Genomic DNA, 18,258 nt, shown 5'->3' on the forward strand with positions numbered 1-18,258 from the left:
TGCCTGTTTCTGCTCTCTCTCTTGCATATCTCCCATTGCTCTCAGAAGAATAGCTCAGGCTGGCCTTCTGGTCCCTGAAGGAGCAGAGCCACCCAGCCAAGCAATCCTACCTGAGTCCAGCCTGGATCAGTCAACTCCTAGCCAAGTTCCGGGCACAAAATAATAATAAATAATGTGTGGAGCCATTGAGTTTTCAGACTGTTTGTTATATAAAAAATAGTTAAGTGATACAGAGAAGTAGCCAAGATCCATATCATGATGGCCTCGTGGCCCCAATAACTTTGGACTTAATTCTGTGAGAAGGAAAACAATTTGCATGTTGAAGGTAAGGTAAGAAGTAAGATAAGACTTGGTTCATATTTTAGATGTGTTACTTGGGATATGTCAGAAAGGCACTGCAGAAGAGCTAGCGTGGAATATGGGGATTTGTTAGGAGGGATTTTCAACTGACAGATGATGGTAGCTAAAACTCAGGAAAAGGAAGTGAAGGAAAACGAAGTGGTTAGATTATATTTTGAAGGTAGAGCCAGTGCAATTTTTCATAAGTGTTGCATAAAAGAAAGAGAGTAATCAAGGGTGGCTCTGAGATTTTTGGCCTGCACAAATAATGTTATATTGGTGCATTTGCTGAAATGGAGGGTAATATACAGTTGAAAGGAGGGTAATATACAGTTGAAACTGTTAAAAAAAATACTAAATTGAGGTTGAGATCAACAGAAAAGTGAGAAGCATTTAAGCAATATGAAACTATTAAAAATACTTTAATTTTAAACTATACTTCGTAAGTATACCATGTAAGCTAGTGTATTAGTCAGCTCAGGCTACCATAACCAGATACTGGAGACTGGGTGGCTTAACCAAGAGACAATTATTTTCTCACAGTTCTAGAGGCTAGAATTCCAATATCAAGGTGTCAGCAAGATTGGCTTCTGTTGAAGCTTTTATTTCTGAGTTGTAACTTCTCTCCTTCTCCCCGTGTCCTCACACGGCCTTTCCTTTGTGTACACATTGAGAGAGAGAGAGAGAGAGAGAGATCTTGTACCTCTTCCTCTTCTTATAAGAACACTAGTTTTATTGGATTTGAGCCTTACCCTATGACCTCATTTAACCTTAGTCACCTCCTTAAAGGTTCTATCTCCAAATATGGTCACATTGAGGGCTAGGGCTACAACATGAAATTTGGGGGGACACAATTCAGTCCATAATAGCTAACTTTATTTATTAAATAGCTAACATTTTATAATGGACTAAAGCAATTTGAGTTCAACTCCAATTACCATCAACATCTTTGTTCCCTTCCAGCAAAACTTTTTGAAAGTGTTGTATGTATTCTTTCTTCTCATCTTTTCAAATTAAGCATCTTTTTCTACTACTCCACTACAATTTCTCTCCTTAGGATCATCAGTGACTGTTCTAAAGTCAATCCCACAGTTCTTTCCCATGCTTTCTTGACTCCTCTCCCATTAGACACAGTTGACCAGACACTCTTTGAAGCCCTGTCTCCTGTAGGCTGAGGTTACGCTATACTCTCCCTGTTCTCTTCCACCTTCTCTGAGAACTCCTCTACAGTTCCCTTTGCTTGTGCTCCTGTTTTACCAGCAGACATTGGGCTGCCTCATAGGCCCCAACCTGCTGTTCTTTGCTAGAGCAATCTGGCCCCTGGCAATCACATTAGCTTTCATGACCTTGCATAAAACTTACACGCTGTTTCAGCTCCCACATCTGTATGTTTATGACATTTCCACTTTGGTCCAAATTTTTGTGTCTAACTGCATCCTTGACATCTCCACTGAGATGTTAAAAGGCATCTTGAGGACAGAATCCTTGGTTTGCCCCTACACCAAACCAGTTCTTTTGCCAGTTTTCTCCAGTTGAGTAAACATGGCACTCATCAACTCAGATGCTTAGGTCTCACACCTATGGGCCCTCCTGATGTCCATTTGTTCACTTCCCCCTCAACTTTAAGCTACCAGCAAATCCTGTCAGCTTTATTCTCCTCCTCTTCAAGCTACTTGTTAACATCTTTATTACTACCACCCATTGGTCATTAAAATTAAAGTCTGAGGTTAAATAAAAAGGTTGCCAGCACTTTTAGTTCAAATGTGTGACTCCTTCTCTGAAGCATGTGGCTAATATAGTGAAGAAATGAAGAAGAAAAAGAATACATATGTTGTAATAGGCAAAACCTGCTCAGATTTTGTAAGATCATAAAACATGAGTGGAAAGAATATTATTTAAAACCCCATGATATTTATTGACTTGTGGAAAGCCAATATTGGACAAAAAAAACACACCTGTGACAAAATTCCTTTTGGGGAAATTTGCACTATTATCCAGCTTGATCTTAGGGAGTGATCTGAAAATCCTGTGGAAAATCAACTCATGTTACATTCTGTCCTTTCAAGTCTAAAGGAGGAGTCTATTCATGCTTACCAGGGACAACTCTTTAATACATAAAACCAAGCCATTAGGAGAGGGATACCAGGATATTTGGGGGCAGATCCTGGATTCTTTAGGGGGTCCCTAAGATTCAACTACTTCACCTACATGTGAGATGAGCTATATCATTATCACTGTTGCGACAAATAAACAAAAGCCATTAAAAAGAGAAAAAAGAGAAACAGCTAAAAGTGAGGAGCACTTTAAAAAAAATCCATAAAATCATTATGCAGTTTTAACCAATTACAAGTCTGCTTTCAGTTAAAAAAGTGCCAAGAGCAAACCACAGAAATGAATCAGAATGGGAGTTTAATTGGAGACTGCCGGCCAGCGGCCAATTTAAAGACTATTTTAAGAGAGCGGGTTGAGCTCAGTATTGAAGCCATATTTGATCACCTTAAGAATTGTTGCCATTCAGACCTGCGGAATTGGCTCCTCTCTAGTAGGCATAGCAAGTCCCAGCGCTGTGTCTGAATTCACTTCCATCACTGCTTATAGTTAAAAGAAATTAAGAAAATTCACCCATCTATTGAAAGTAGAGCTGCCTGCATATTTTGCGGGACCCAGTGCAATATGAAAATGGGAGCCCTTTGTTCAAAATGCAGGAAGAAAGTATTATTAAAATTTAAAAAATATAAAACTTTTTCCTTCCAAGGTCTCCCTGTTGACCTCTCATGAAGTTTTTTGACTTTTTAACACTGCAATCCCTCAGGCAGGTGAATACACACAGCCTGCTGAGCCTCACAGGCGCCTGAGCGGCCAGACCAATTTGTCAGTCTCCCTCTTCCACACCCATCACTCCAGTCACGATGGACGGGAGGTCCTGAGAGAGTCCAACCTCCACGGGGGGACACACTGGGGACCTTGATCAGGAATAGGTAACAGGCCTCTCCCCAGGTTGCTTATCAAATGTTCTGTGGTGTTGCTAATCCTGGGTGAGGAGAGCTGCTGCAATACTCCAAGGTTCTATGGGGTGCAGGCTCACCCAACCCCACCCCTTCCCATGTCCTCCCCAGGCACCTGCCAGGGGTGGCAGGTAGTGGCAGGATATTGGCCTCCCCCTGCTGTCCTGCTCTTGCTCCTGGTTGAAGGTGTCAGTGGCGGCAGAGTGGGAAGGGGAAAATGTGGGGTTCAAATTCCAGATGATGGCAACATGGCTACCAAAACCTGTCCCTGGAAAGTAGGGGAGGCAACAGGTGGCAGTACTCACATGAGTGACTCTCTAAGCCACCATCCCTCTGCAGTCACCCATGCTCTATTGTTCCAGCAGACTTCATTTACAAAATCCAAATTCAAAGATAAAATTATCAGTAATTTCGAGACTGTGACTAGAGAGCATAGAATGGCAAGCCCAGATCCTTCTGAGCCAGTGGCCACGTGCAACTGCACTGGTCATTCCTGTGAAGCTGACCCTGATGGGAAGTGGATTTGCTGGTGACATCACAGGGCCCTGATCCTGCAACATCCTGGAGGAGCTGTGTGCACCTGCCAACTCTGGCTCTCCTCCAACATATACAATCTTATTTTTGAAAAAGAGCTTTCTGCTTCAGTAAGACAAGAAAGACAAGGCATTTTAGAAATTTTAAAAAACAGTGTATCTTTTATTTCATGGGTTTATACAGATCATACCTAGTAGTACTAAGAGAACTTACCAAAGAACAACAATGACTTAATTTGGAGTCTGTTTCTGAGTGGTGCTTTTCTAATCAAAGTGTAATTAGGGCATTGCTCCAAGCAGTCTTGGCTGGGTTCAGTGAGTTTAGACAGATATAGCTCTCTGAGTCCTTTACAGCCTGGACTGGCTTAACAATCATCCAAGCCTCATAGTGACCATTTTCCCTCATCTTTGTGACCCCATTTCTTTATCAATATTGTTGTTAAACCACAGCCAGCAGATCCCAACGTCATTGGTTTATGATCAATCAGTGTACATATTTATACTGCTATAATGTTCAAAATACTATTTGGTTGATAATCTTTATTGCAGTACATATTTGAAAAACGTCATTAAAAACTTAGATTTAACAAATAATTTTGAGGTTCTTAATAGTTTCACACGTATGGTCTCATGGTTTAATTCTTTTTAAATTTTGTAGTATGATGTTGCTTTCTTGGGATAGTGATTAGGAAAAATCCATCATGTTTATTATTATAAGTATACTTAGAGTTACATATAATTCTAAATATATATGTGTATAATTATGATTATATCCATGTAGTATTTATTGAATGCTTATTATCTACCATTTAATCTTTGCAACAATCCTGTTAAATAAGTACTCTCATCACTATTTTATATGTGAAGAAACTGAGTTTCAGAGAGATTGAGTAACTTGCCTAAATTCATACAGCTGGTTGCTAGCAACATTTATTGAGGACTTACTGTGAGCCGGACACCAGGCTAAGTATTTTACATAGTAGAATTCTACATTCTCTACAGTATTCTGCATATTGTCATTTAATCCCTATGACTTACCCTTTGGGATAGTATTACTGCTATCTTCATATTACAGATGAAAAAACTTGAGACTGGAAAGATTGATTCTCTTAAGGGTACACTGCTATTACCACTAAGAGCCAGGATTTTAACACAGAAAGTTGGACACCAGAGCCAATGTTTTCATTCATTACACTGTGCAGAAGGTTGCATATTGTGAAAATGGCCAGAACATATTTCTGTTGCCACATACTCCTCCAGAACCTTACACTCTCTCATCAATAGTTGGAGTCTATTCTTCCCCCACTTGAAACCTTGTGGGCACTATGAATGCCATGACAAATAGCACTGTGGTGGAAGTGATATTGCATGGTCACACGTAGAAGGGCTAGGTCAGAAAAGGTAATACAGAACCTGCTAGGCTCTCTGTCTCAGGATACTCATCCTTGCAACTCAGCCACTATGGAAGGCAGAGTCATGGCTCTCCAAAGATGTCTGTGTCCTAGTCCCTGGAACCTGTGAATATATTACCTTACTAGGCTAAAGGGACTTGACAGATGTAATAAAATTAAGGACCTTGAAATGAGAAAATTATTTTTAATTATGTGAGTGGCCCAATATAATCACAAAGGTCCTTAAAAGTGGAAGAGGGAGCAGAGAGTCAGAAGGAGATGTGATCGTGGAAAGAAGGCACAGAGCGACGCAGTGTTGCTGGCTTTGAAGAGGTAGGAAGCAGGCCATGAGCCAAGGAATGTGGGCAGCCTCCACAAACTGGAAAATGAAGCAGATTCTCCCCTAGAGCCTTCATTCAGAAACGAACACAGCCTGGTGACAACTGGATTTTAGCCCAGTGAGACTTGTATCAGACTTTTGGCCTATAGAACTGTAAGATAATAAATTTGAATTATTTTAAGCCACTACATTTATGGTAATTTCTTGAACAGTGATAGAAAATGAATACAGCCACCATTCTGTGAAGAAGCTCAGGCCATGAGGAGGTGTTTCAACTAACAGGTAATATCTTGGTTGACAGCCAGCATCATTTGCTAAGAAGGTGAGTGAGTGAGCTTTCAGATGACGCCAGTGCCCAAGCTTCAAGATGCTCCCAATGATGCCAAGTGGAATGGAGTTGAGCTGCCCCTGCTGAGCCCTGTTCAAATGGCTTTTGGGGCTGTCCAAAAAACCTAACAAACATGAGGTTTGTTCTGTCTCTATTCCATGCCTTGCTGAACATGAGGAAACTTTCCAGTCTGTGAAACAATTGTTGATTACTGAGTTTCATGATCCTAAATTACAATAAGCATCAGCCCATTTCTAACTGCTGAGGATGTCTCATCCTGTTAAAGTGTCAGGCCATGGTTAGGAACAAGATGCCAAAGCACAGTGAACAATAAATAAAGAAGTATACCAACGGACATAGGGGCACCCTTATTGTTACAAGAATAAGCCATCTTCATAATCACTTTCACTGTTATGATCTCTACCGATTATAGAACTGTTGCAAATATCATAATCTTAAAAAAAATCTCATTGGATGATTCCTGAGCTTCATACAAATAATTGAGAACCCTGTTTCCACATTACCTAGCAAAGAGAACACAGAAAATTATAGAAAATCATTGAGCAAACATAGCTACCTAGGGATCTGCTCTGAGTCCATTTTTTTTAAAGAAAGATACATTACAGAGATAGCATGATCATGAATTTGTCATTCATTAGTTTCAGCCATGCATGTTTTTATTTATTTACTCCTTAAAGAAAATAATATTTTTTTGCTTCTTTCCATATTTTATGTATGGTATCATCAACCTGAAACTTGATTTTTGGTTGCTAGTATATTTTTAAGTTTTATTCATGTTAATGCTCACAGGCCTAGCTTAATTCATCTTTGACTGCTTATCCTTTCTCTTATTAATGAATATTAATGCTTTAAGTTTTGTTTATTTGTTTCAGCTTTTAACTTTCACAAAAATGCTGCAGTCCATGTTCTTTACAGATCTCTTGGGCACATTTACTAGATAGAGTTCATTGTATTGTATGTTTAGGGGTAAAGTTTATGAGATAAAGAAAATATGCATCTTCAAATTTGCTAGATATTGCCAAGTTGTTCTCCAAACAATTTTTTATTCTACCACAGTATATAAGAGTTCTACTGTTTCATATAATTTGCTCACATATGCCACTATTAAACATTTAATGTTTTGCCAAACTGATAAGTCTGCAATTATATCTAATTGTGGTTTTCCCCTTGTAAGGGAGGCTAGGCAACCTTCCATATGCTTATAGGACAATATTTTTTCTCTTTTCTGTGAATTACCTATTTGTATCTTCACGCTATTTTTCTACTGAGTTTTCTTATGTGTTATTTCTCATTAATTTGTAAGCATTTCTTAAAAATTATGGATTATAATTTGTTTTGTTATATGCTTTGCAGAAACCCTTCTCAGTTTGTGGAGTATCTTCTTACTTTATTTGTAATGTTTGTTGTGTAACATTGGTTTAAATTGAAATACACTCAGCTATATACTTTATTTAATAGTATGTGCATTTGTTTCTTATTTATCCTACCTCAAGGTTAGAAATAAGATCTTTTATATTTTTTCTAAACTTTTTATATTTTTCATCCATCTGGAATTTATTTTTTTCTGTACAGTGTGAGGTAGGGGTTTAACTTTATTTTTTCCCCACAAGGATACTTCATTTCTCAGCAGCATTATTAAATAGTCATGTTATCCCTACTAATTTTTAATGTCATCTCTCTCATATTAAGTTTTCATAGATATGTGAGTTGGGAATATGCTATTATACTTCAGTGACTTTGTATAAGCTATTATCTCTGTCCAGAATGTCCTTCCCCACTCTGTTGACTTGCAAATATTCTCCTCTCCTATTATGTCTTAGTTTAAATGTCATCTTCTTTATGAAATAGCTCTCACCTTTCTTTCCCCTTCTCTGTGTTGATTATAACCTTCATTGCCACATGTATTGCACCATAGATATTCATGTAGAGAGTTTTCATTGCCAGATTTTTAGCATTTTGGAGGCTAAACACATTGTCCTGTTATTTTGTACTGTCAAGTACCTTGTAGATATTTAATAAGATTATCTAAAGGAATAAATTAATGAGTGAATCTTTGAAACAGAACAGCTTGAGTGACACTTGGTAAATCTGAATAATTCATCTTCATATCTCTGGTCTATCTTTTTCCCTTGTTTTGCTGACTTTATGTAGAGATTTTAACATAGTTATTATGGATGGCATTTTTCTTTTTAAAAATTGCTATTTATATCTATAATTTGTAGTGTAGTATAGCATAATGCTATCTTACTTGTTAGATTCTTTTCATTTTTTTTAAATAAATGTTGTCTGAAGACTAAATTAGCAACATCACCTATATGGTGACACTACTTTGTCCAAAAATCCCCAAAGCTGCCTTGTTGGAGAGCAGGGAAGCTTTGTACTCTAGGCAAGCTGTTATTTGGTACATATAGCTAAAATCTAAAAAGCACAACAAAGACTGTAAACTCACTCAATTTTACGTAATTATTTTTGAATACTCTATGGTCCCTTATAAAATGTAAGGACTTTATAAATAGTTATTGAATATTTTCATGATAGTAATCATGTGTTTCATCACCTGCCTTACTCTTGAGAAGATTTTACAAGATCTGTCAATCTCATAGGCAATAAAGAACATAGCTGATTTCTGTATATGATTTCCATCAAAGCTTATGCATGTGGCGAATCAGAACAGAAATGAGCATTGCTGACATGACCTTGAAGTTTCCATAATCACCAGCTTCTGGTATTATTTGAGAGTAGATTTAGAACACTTATGCTGGTGTTGTTTTCACTTACAAGTAACCCTCAAAAGATTAGCAGCCCTTCTTTACTGCTGTTAATTTTGTCATTGACCAAACTCACAGCAAAAGATGCAACCATCAACTCCTAACTCAAAAGAGTGAACAACAAAGTCTGCATATGAAAGCATGGTCTTCAGAATTTCATGCTCAGCCAGGTATTTAGGCTGCAAGACCTACCTTATCTCGGAGTGTAGATGCTTGGATTTGCTGCTTACAGGTCAGCAAATCATGCGTAGTTAGCTCTGTTTTATTTAAACAAGTCTGGTTACAAACTACTGTACAGTACTTCTGCACAAAGTTATACTACGTCTCTATGTTCCCTAATTCACTTAAGGAAAGAGCAATCACTTTCAAGGTTTCACCCAAATCATTCTTTTAAGCTATTCTTAACACCCTGAGCTTTTCTCTTGAGGTTTCTTTTCCTTATCCCTAGAAATAACCTTTCATCATTGGCTTTTGAAAGTGTTCAGTCTACGTAATTTCCCAAATTGGGCCTTTCAGTTTTGGACCTGGTTACCTTATTAAGTCCTTTAATTTTTCATTGTGAGCTCCTTAACTTTTTATCTGGTGAATTTCCTTTTCGAACACGTCTTGCCTCTACTCTCCTGTGCTTTCTTTTCACTACACACATAACAATTTTCCACTTCTTTCCCAATACCAGCCACTTGGGTTCCAAATTTTATTATTTCCCTATTGTTCATTTCTCTATTTAAAAAACATATCTGTTTTATCTCAAATTAGTGTTCTAAGTCCCAGATTTACATTTAAAGGTCATAAATAACTCTTATCTACAACCTCTGCGAGACTCTTTCTCTCTTTAGAGTTCAGTTTCCTTGTCTATAAAATGAGGCAGTTGGAAGACATCTCTAAGTTCTGCTTCAGCAAAAACAGTGCGACTCTGACAATAAGAGGATTTGTCATATTTGGTACACCTCAATTGATTAGGGGTTATTTACTGCTGTGTAGTCTATCTATGTTTGCATGGCCATTGGCACATTCAATATAAAACTGCATCACGCAAAAGGAGCAGCAGCCAGTTCTAGCATCACAGCTGTTTTTGTCTTAGCACAATGTGAGGCCCGATTGGGAGAAGAGAAAGCAGGAAAAGCACAAGAAGCTGCCAAAAGGTGAACTGAAATAGGACAGTCACAGGCAAAGATAAAAGTTGAAATGACTTCATGACACCCCAGAAGATTATAACTAAAAGGAACTAGGCCAGTGTCAGGACTTCTGGGCGAGAATTAACAGAAAGGAGAAAAAGAACTAGAACTCTGCTATCAGAAAAGAAAAGGTTATTTTTTTCTTTAGAAATATATGTTCTCAGATTATGAGTTTAGAGGTCAATGAAACAGAGGAACAAACAATGCAAGATCTACCAACAGATGCAGAGGCAAGTTTAAGTGGGGAATGGAGAAGAGAACAAGAGCCCCAAATCCTTAGTCTTTTTGTCATCCCCAAATAAAAATCACCCAATCACCCAAAGTATAATTTCTGAATGCAATGAGCAGAAATAGATGAACTTCATTTTTAGCTCTTATGTTTCTTGGATTGTGAGTTGGCTAAGGTATTTGTTAGTCTGCCGCTCATTTACTAGATTACTGATCGCATGATACGACTATTATGTCATTCAGGTAATACAAGAAATACAATTATGCTCCCTTCATTCTGTTTGGTAGACAGCACATCAGGGGGCAGGAAAAGGTCTATTTCAGAAAAGCAGTTCTTTCTGAACAAGGAGGATTCTTGCAAAGAATTTTCTTTTTCTTTTTCTTTTCTTTCTTTCTTTTTGGGTTTTTTTTTTTTTTTTTTTTTTTTTTGAGACAGAGTTTTGCTCTTGTTGCCCAGGATAAAGTGCAATGGCACAGGTTTGGCTCACTGCAACCTCCACCTCCCAGTTTCAAGCAACTCTCCTGCCTCAGCCTCCCAAGTAGCTGGGATTACAGGCACCCACCACCATGCCTGGCTAATTTTCGTATTTTTAGTAGAGACGGGGTTTCACCATGTTGGCCAGGCTGGTCTCAAACTCCTGACCTCAGGTAATCCTCCCACTTTGGCCTCCCAAAGTGCTGCGATTATAGGTGTGAGCCACTGTGCCTGGCCAGACATTCTATTTCCTGAAAATAAAATTGATAAGCTTTCTATCTTCTAGAAGTTTGTTTTATTGAAAAGGTTTTTTTTAATTTTTCAAACAAATAACTTTTTTTCTTTTTTTTGGTTTAGAGGTATATGTGCTACAATTCCTTCTGGGAAATGAGTGACTGGATTGAAACAAATTTAAAGTTAAAATGTCTTTATGCGCAAGTCAGGTAGCTGTTATTCCTATATCCATTTTGCAGATGAGTATTTGGAGGTTCAGAGTGGTTAAGGTGAAGCTGATCACATGAAAAAAGAAGTGAAGCTGGGATTTAAACCCAGATCTCCTGATTTTAAGTGCTATGGTCCTCATACTACACTCCTAAAGGCTTTCCCCTAGACTGTGAGAAGGGTAAATTGCTTATACATTCTTAATTTGCATGCACTTAGTAAATTAATCATGTGACTGTAACAGACATAATGAGCATCTTAACAGAATCACTGAATGACCACCGGTGGCTTCCCTGACATCTCCCCTCCCAACCCATAGGTCACATTGTGAAACCAGGACAGCTTTCTTCCTTTCTTTAGCAGTTTCCTCTTTAGGCGTTGTATGGCCAATGGTGCCATATACACTAGAGCTTCCTGGCAGAAGGGGGACCCATTCACTGATTCCTTGAATGAATCTTTCACTATATATTAAATGAGTCATCACACCATGCAGGTGATTGTGTGAGATACAATGGGCACTAAGAACATAACTGAGGCATCATAGAATGTTTGTGGTAATGGATATAGCAGCCTAGTCTCCTTTGCTTTGCATAATTGGAAAAAGTTTCAGATGATTGAAGTTTGGAGGAAATTAAGAAAAGAAATCTCAGTTTAAATAACCAAAAAGTCCTGTATGAAAAGAAGTGGTGCTGATTCTTATTTGGCTCTAACATACAGTCAAACTCCTAAGCACATGTTTTCAAGTTTCAAAGTTGAATAAATGCTGCAAACGTGAAAGACATTAATGGTACCCTCTGTCTCTCTCCCCAGTGGAGTAAATTAACTCAAGATTGCTTCCATTAGCCTTTCCTCTTCTCATCCCCCCATCTGCCTGGAGGAAAATGCTTGCTGATGGCACTTCCTGGCACAACAGCAATTGTGATATTTTCAGTGGGCTTTGCCTTTTGTTGCTCCCTGAGCTCCGTGACCCACCCGTGCTGGCCAGAGCTGCATTAACCAGGTCCCGCCCGCACAGGAGAAATTCCTTTCATTCATCAACAGATAAGGAGTTTTGACAAGACTCTCTGGGGAGCAAAAGGGAGAAAATACACACACACACACACACACACACACACACACACACACACACACACACACACAAGATTGCCCTGTAATATTGAGAAACACAAAGTAAAGGGACCAAAAAAAGACTGAAGGAAGCTTTAAGGCGGCCAGGGCAGACAGGGAGTCTGCTATCAGAATTAAACGCGATGCAGTCCAGAGCCCTGCTCTCTGTTTCTACCTGCTTCTTCTCAATGTCACTGTCGGCCAAGAGTTTGATAAAAAACAGATCCCCAGAAGTATTCCAGTAACTCCTCAGGACCACCAGGGCAAAAACAAAAACATTCAGGGCTTGACACTTACCAGGGCAACTTGCCAAGCTTATCACATGTGAAAAGAGCTGCTCAGAGAGAATAATCTTGCTCGCGTTCACAAGGCGGGGTGTTAAGTCTCGGAGAACCCAGGGCATTTTCCATCCAGAGCAGCCTAGAAGGGTTGGAAATAGCACTTTTCTATGAACTGCCAGAAAGGGCAATTATACACTTTATGTAAGGGAAGGCTGAAGGAGAACTTGAAAGGTCATTTGAGGGAGAATGTGGAGAATTAGTCTACCTTCTAGCCTTCAAGTCTGAATAGACTGGAATGACTCTACCTTACAAGCATGTCTCATACATTCTTTATGTAAATCTTTTCTGCAAACCTGGCCTGGAGGAAATTCTGACACCCAACCTAACACTTGCAGGATGTATTTCTTTCTTTTTCCGCAAGCTTCATTGAAGATAATAATAGCACACACTCCTAACATCCCTGAGTGCTTACTGTGAGCGGACACGGTCCTAAGCCTCTTACCTGTATCTTTTTCGTGTGATCCTCATAAACGCCCTATGAGGTAGATATTATTACTATCCTCACTTTCTGGATGAGAAAACCGAGGTGCAAAGAACATGCCTAAGGTCATATAGCTAATAAGTGAAATAGCAGGGATCTAATTCTGCTTCTCATTGAATCCTCATACTTTTAAATAACCATTCACAGGGATACTCCCCTATTTCTCATTTCAAGTTTCTCTGTCGGCTAAATAACCTTCTTCCCTCTAAGCCTTTCTCCTCTTGTGACTTCAGTCTGATATCTCTTCTTTAGGTTTCTGATCTCCCTAATTAAATTTTTCCCCAATATTCTGTGAAACTTCTAATGTGTTGTTTTAGGTTTAAATATAGGTCAGCTTGTATATGTTATACGTATATGCCCTATATCACATTGTTATATGTTTTTTCAGCTGGAGTATCACCTATCTGATCTGCATGCCTTATAACTCCATATAAGTGCTATAAAGTTTCAAGTTTCTGGTCTATTAAGATAAACCCTTATATCTCAAATTGGAACCTCAGCCTTGAGATATGGCTTTTCATGTTAGCAGCTATATCCATGCATTCCATCCCTTATGCAAATTTGTCACAAAGCTTTGCGAGGCTTGGTGCTTCTGATGTTGCCGCTTTCCTTAGCTGCAGGCAGTCATCACGCTCTGTTAAGATGGTGGCAAAGCAGTGAAGTTTCTGTGACTCCCCTGAATAGCAACCAGTTCCATTTTTCCTCTAAACTCAGGAGGCATCTGGTTCATGACCTGATTCCTCACACCTTAATCGTGAAGATGGTGCTGATCACAGTAGCACACACCCATAGTCCCAGCCACCGAGGAGACTGAGATGGGAGAATCCCTTGAGGCCAGGAATTTGAGGCTGTAGTGCACTATGAGCCTCTGAATAGCCACTGCACTCCAACCTGGGCAACATAACAAGACTCTTCTCTTAAAAAAGAGAAAAAAAGAAGATGGTAAGTTGGGCTTTTTTATCAAACAAAACTTGTGTTCATTGGGCTAACAAATACATAGAGTGTCTACTACTAGCCAGACATGTTGTAAGTGCTAGCTCTAAGTCAGTTAAGAAAACAGATAATAAATCTCTGTCTCTTGAATATTATTCTCTGGTGAGGGGTTATAGATACATGATATATTAATTATGTCAGAGAACTTGGCAAATGAGAAATAGGAAGTTCATTCAGCTAAATTAATTCAACAACTCTTCGTTAAATACCAAATATGTATTGTACAGTGTTTATCAGTTGTTGGAGTTAAAGCAGGAACCAGAAAGATATGATTCCAGCCATCATGTTACTTACATTCTCGTGCCCATCATTTAACTGTTTGTTCTCACATGCATTTCTTACCATTCTCCTGCTCCTTTGAAGGTGGGAGAGAAGAGGAAAGTAATCTTTACAGAGTACATTTCCTAGATTCCCCTGCCAAATGGCACTTGATCAGTTTTTCAAGAGCAGCAGGCACTAACCAAAGTCTGGGGAAACACAAGAAAGGAGTGACCTTGCCTCTTCCTTTCTCTGTCGCAGGTGCTGGCTGCCTTTCCTCTAAACTCTAGCTCCTGCTAGCCTGGCTGTAACCCCGATTGCACCTCCTCCTTTCTAGGCTCTTGTGCCTCCAGCCCTTGGGATAGCAGTGGCTTTTGTTCTGTGTTGCCTACAATCTCTGTTTAACTTCTCAGCCTTCATGATCCATGTGGCCAAATCCTTGAATTAAATTTTCTTTTCGAAAGACCTAAACTAGTTTTGTTTTTTCTCATGGGCCCCTAAGTGGGGAAGTAAGTTTTAAATGAGATATTACAAATGTGATTAGCAAAACAAAAGTAGCAGTGAGGTACTATAGATTGTATAAGAAGAGCCCTAGTTTGCTGGGGCTGCCAAAGCAAACTGTAAGAATCTTGGTGACTTATACAACAGAAACTTATTTTCTCAGAGTTGTAGGGGCAGGAAGTTCAAGATAAGGTGTCTGCAGGTTTGTTTCTTCTGAGGCCTCTCTCCTGGGCCGCCTTCTCCCTGTTGTCTTCACCATGGTCATGTCTCAGTGCTTGCGTATCACTTTGTCTCCTCTTATAAAGAGACTGGTCAGATTGGATTGGGACCCACCCAAATAGCTTCACTTTACCTTAATCACATCTTTAATGGTTCTCTTTTTAAATACAGTCACATTCTGAAGTGTTGGGACTTCAGGCTCCAACATATGAATTTTAGAGGGTACTCAATTCAATCCATAACACTGACCTAGTTGAAAGGTCAGGTAGGCTCAGCTAAGAAAGGCATCAACAAATAGAGTAGCAGGGAAGACATTGGTGGCCATATATGCATTTGATTTTCACATATTTGACATATGTTATAAATGCAACATGCTAGCCGCTGGATATACAGACATGGATAAGATGTTCTCCTCTGTGATTGACATTGGGTAGGAGACATGGACAAGGGGTGGAATAATTAAAATATAATGTAGTTCATCTCAGGATGGGTTAAGTATCAGAAGTAGCTGGAGAATGGAGAACAGGGGCATCTCAGCCTATTAAGAAGGTCAAGAATGGCCTCCTCTGAGTAGATGTCATCCAAAGTGAATCTTCAAAATTAAAGTGTTGGGCAAGTGAAAAAAATCTGAGAGTGGGAAGAAAATTCCCAGTAGATGAAAGAGCATGTTTTCTAGATGTTAGACTTGTAAGTAAGAGAAAGATAGCACAGCATATTCATCCTTCATGAAACTGAGAGGACAGCTTCTTTTTTGGAGTGTGTGTGTGTGTGTGTGTGTGTGTGTGTGTGTGTGTGTGTATGTGTGAGAACTGAATAATACTTCTCTGTATTCATTGATGCAGTGTTCTTCATAGCACTTTTAAAATATTGGGAGTTGATCTCTAAATATCTTGGAGCTAATGCTTTGCTTCTCATTTGTTTATTTTGGATTGTTTCCATCTATGAGAGAACGTCATGTCATTTTTCCTTGATAATCATGTCTCTAACTTTGGTGTGACCACCTCTCCTTTGGCATCGGTGATCCTGGGGGCTTCGGACTGTGCTACTCCCAAGAAGTTGCTGAGAATGTTCATTAGAACAATAGGAAAGGCTTCTAAAACTCTGCTTTGTAACTTTTCGCATGTATATTCTCAATAAGGATGTGTCTTTTTTTAGCCATATCACTATGGTTAATGAAGTATTACACAGTAGAAGGCCCACATAATTGGCCCAAACCAATGTTAAAAATAATATTAAAATGTAAAGTTTTCATCTTGTTGCTCTTTTTCAGCTATTTCAGTAGATCTCTTTCTTCCCTGACTGGTATCATTCACAAACATTCAAAATGACTCTATTGTAGATTTCTGGCTTGAAGAATAAGCTATTTGTCCAATGACATTATTTAAGAAGGACAGTAATTTAAGAATAATGTTTATAATACTCATAAACAATCTATACACATTTGAAGATTTTTCACTTTATCATATATATCATAGATAAAATGTTTAGAGTTCCCCCAAAAGATTCATTAAAATCCTTAGATGGGGCTTTTTTTTTTCTGGGAAAACAGTGGTTTAGTAATTCTAAAGAGGTTTCATCTTATATTATCCATGTTCAAGCAAAAGGGCATTTGAGCATTTATTTAATCAGTGTCTGTAGCAGATTTAGGAGTAGATGCCTTTTCTTCTCATTAGGACCAAATTGCATGCTACTGACAAGGGTTAAAAAAAATACCACATACATTTCTTCAGCAATTAAGATTGAGAACATTTGATTGGGGGCTTTCTGGGGTTTTAGATTGCCTTGCATTTCCACCTCTGAGGAGGAAATAGATTCTAAGTTATAGCAAGAGAGCACTGAGTTAGATGTAAAGAAGAACTTTGTGTCTCAGACTGATTAAACACTGGAGCAAATTAGCAGGGAAGCTTATGGAATCGCCATCTGTGGAGATACTTCAAAAATAGAATTGACAATTTTTTTCTTTGGATGATTTAGGAAATGCCCCTACTGGCAAGGAGATGGACCAAATGGGCTCTTGAAATCCTTTTTGGTTCTCTGCTCCTAAGAATCTTCCTATACAGTTCTTGGAAGTATTTATTTCCTAAGTAGAATATAGAACAGAAAGCCTTTAGTAAAGGTAGGCTGCATGTGTGTGTGTGTGTGTGTGTGTGTGTGTACATATCTTTAGGTAGAAGGATGAGAAGGCAACATTGTGTGATCTAAAAAGCAAAATTATCATTTGCTAACCAGTCATGTTTACCTATGTAAATACATAGGACTTCCTTAGACTTTCTAGCCTCTTGCTGCTTTTCTGACTGCTCAGTCTCTGTCCATTCTCTGCCCACACATCAAGTGTCGGCCTCATCCTGTGTCCTACTCTCTACTCTCTTTCTCTTTCACACTTGTCTCCCCCAAGACAGCTTTATATTCTCCTGAGGTTTCTGTCCTTGGGTAACTTGAAAAATCTGCTTCCACAGCCACGATATTTCTCTGGGTGCCAAAACTGCATTCCAACTACCTGGCAAATATGTCCACCTGAAAAGACCTTTCAGCAGATTCAACTCAACTTGCCGCAAACTGAAGAGGCAGGAGAAAAGAAAAGGGTCTCCACTCTGCCCTTCTACAGTTCCTCTTGTAGCCTTTTCCACCCCACCTACCATCCCAGCAGTTCTTCCTACACTCACCCTCTGGGCCCTAATTAGCTCTTTAGCCTCATCTGGTATGGCCAACCTCTCCCCAACCCCCATGCCCCACACATGGCCAAAGAGTCACAGAAAATTGTGCCCAACCCTCTCCTCTGCCAGCACAACATTCTCAGGGCTTCTAGCTCTGGGAGCTCACTCACCCCTCCCAAGCTACCTATCCTCTTTGCCTACAATATTTCTTCTGCCTTGAATAATCTTCCTACTCTGACTGTAAAATTATCTCTCTACAAGGTGTCTCATGTTTACAGTCTCAGTTCATCTTCTTAGGAAATCTTACTGAATCTTCCTTCATGTGCATCAATTGTCCTCTGCCCAAGAACCTGCAGCCCATTCTTCACATGACCTTGGAAAAGGCACATAGCATGAGGATTGGATCACTCCATATCTGGGGCTATATTGTGTACATCACATCCCAGCTATGAGACCCTGATGGGTGACTTAACCTCTTAGTGTCTATTTCTCCAGCTATAAAATAGGAATAAATTTAATGCTATCCCAAAGGAGTGAGGACAAAAGCACTCACCCGGGTACTGGGAAGAATAAAGAGGTAAATGGTCCCTTCAATCAAAGAGGTTTAGGTCAAGTAACTAATAATATACACAATTCCAGTAACTGTAATAAGCTATGAGT

At 39.1% G+C, this 18,258-nt stretch overlaps 1 long non-coding RNA gene across 1 annotated transcript in view; it reads right to left on the reverse strand.

The window, feature by feature from the left end:
* Nucleotides 1-18,258, reverse strand: part of LOC102724710 (uncharacterized) — a 90,052-nt gene that overhangs the window by 50,210 nt on the left and 21,584 nt on the right. Inside the window, exon 3 of the long non-coding RNA NR_125827.1 lies at nucleotides 12,449-12,571. This is a non-coding gene — a long non-coding RNA (uncharacterized LOC102724710). The remainder of the gene's footprint in view (nucleotides 1-12,448; nucleotides 12,572-18,258) is intronic.

The sequence above is a fragment of the Homo sapiens genome, chromosome 8 (genome assembly GCF_000001405.40).
Source record: "Homo sapiens chromosome 8, GRCh38.p14 Primary Assembly".
NCBI lineage: Eukaryota > Metazoa > Chordata > Mammalia > Primates > Hominidae > Homo > Homo sapiens.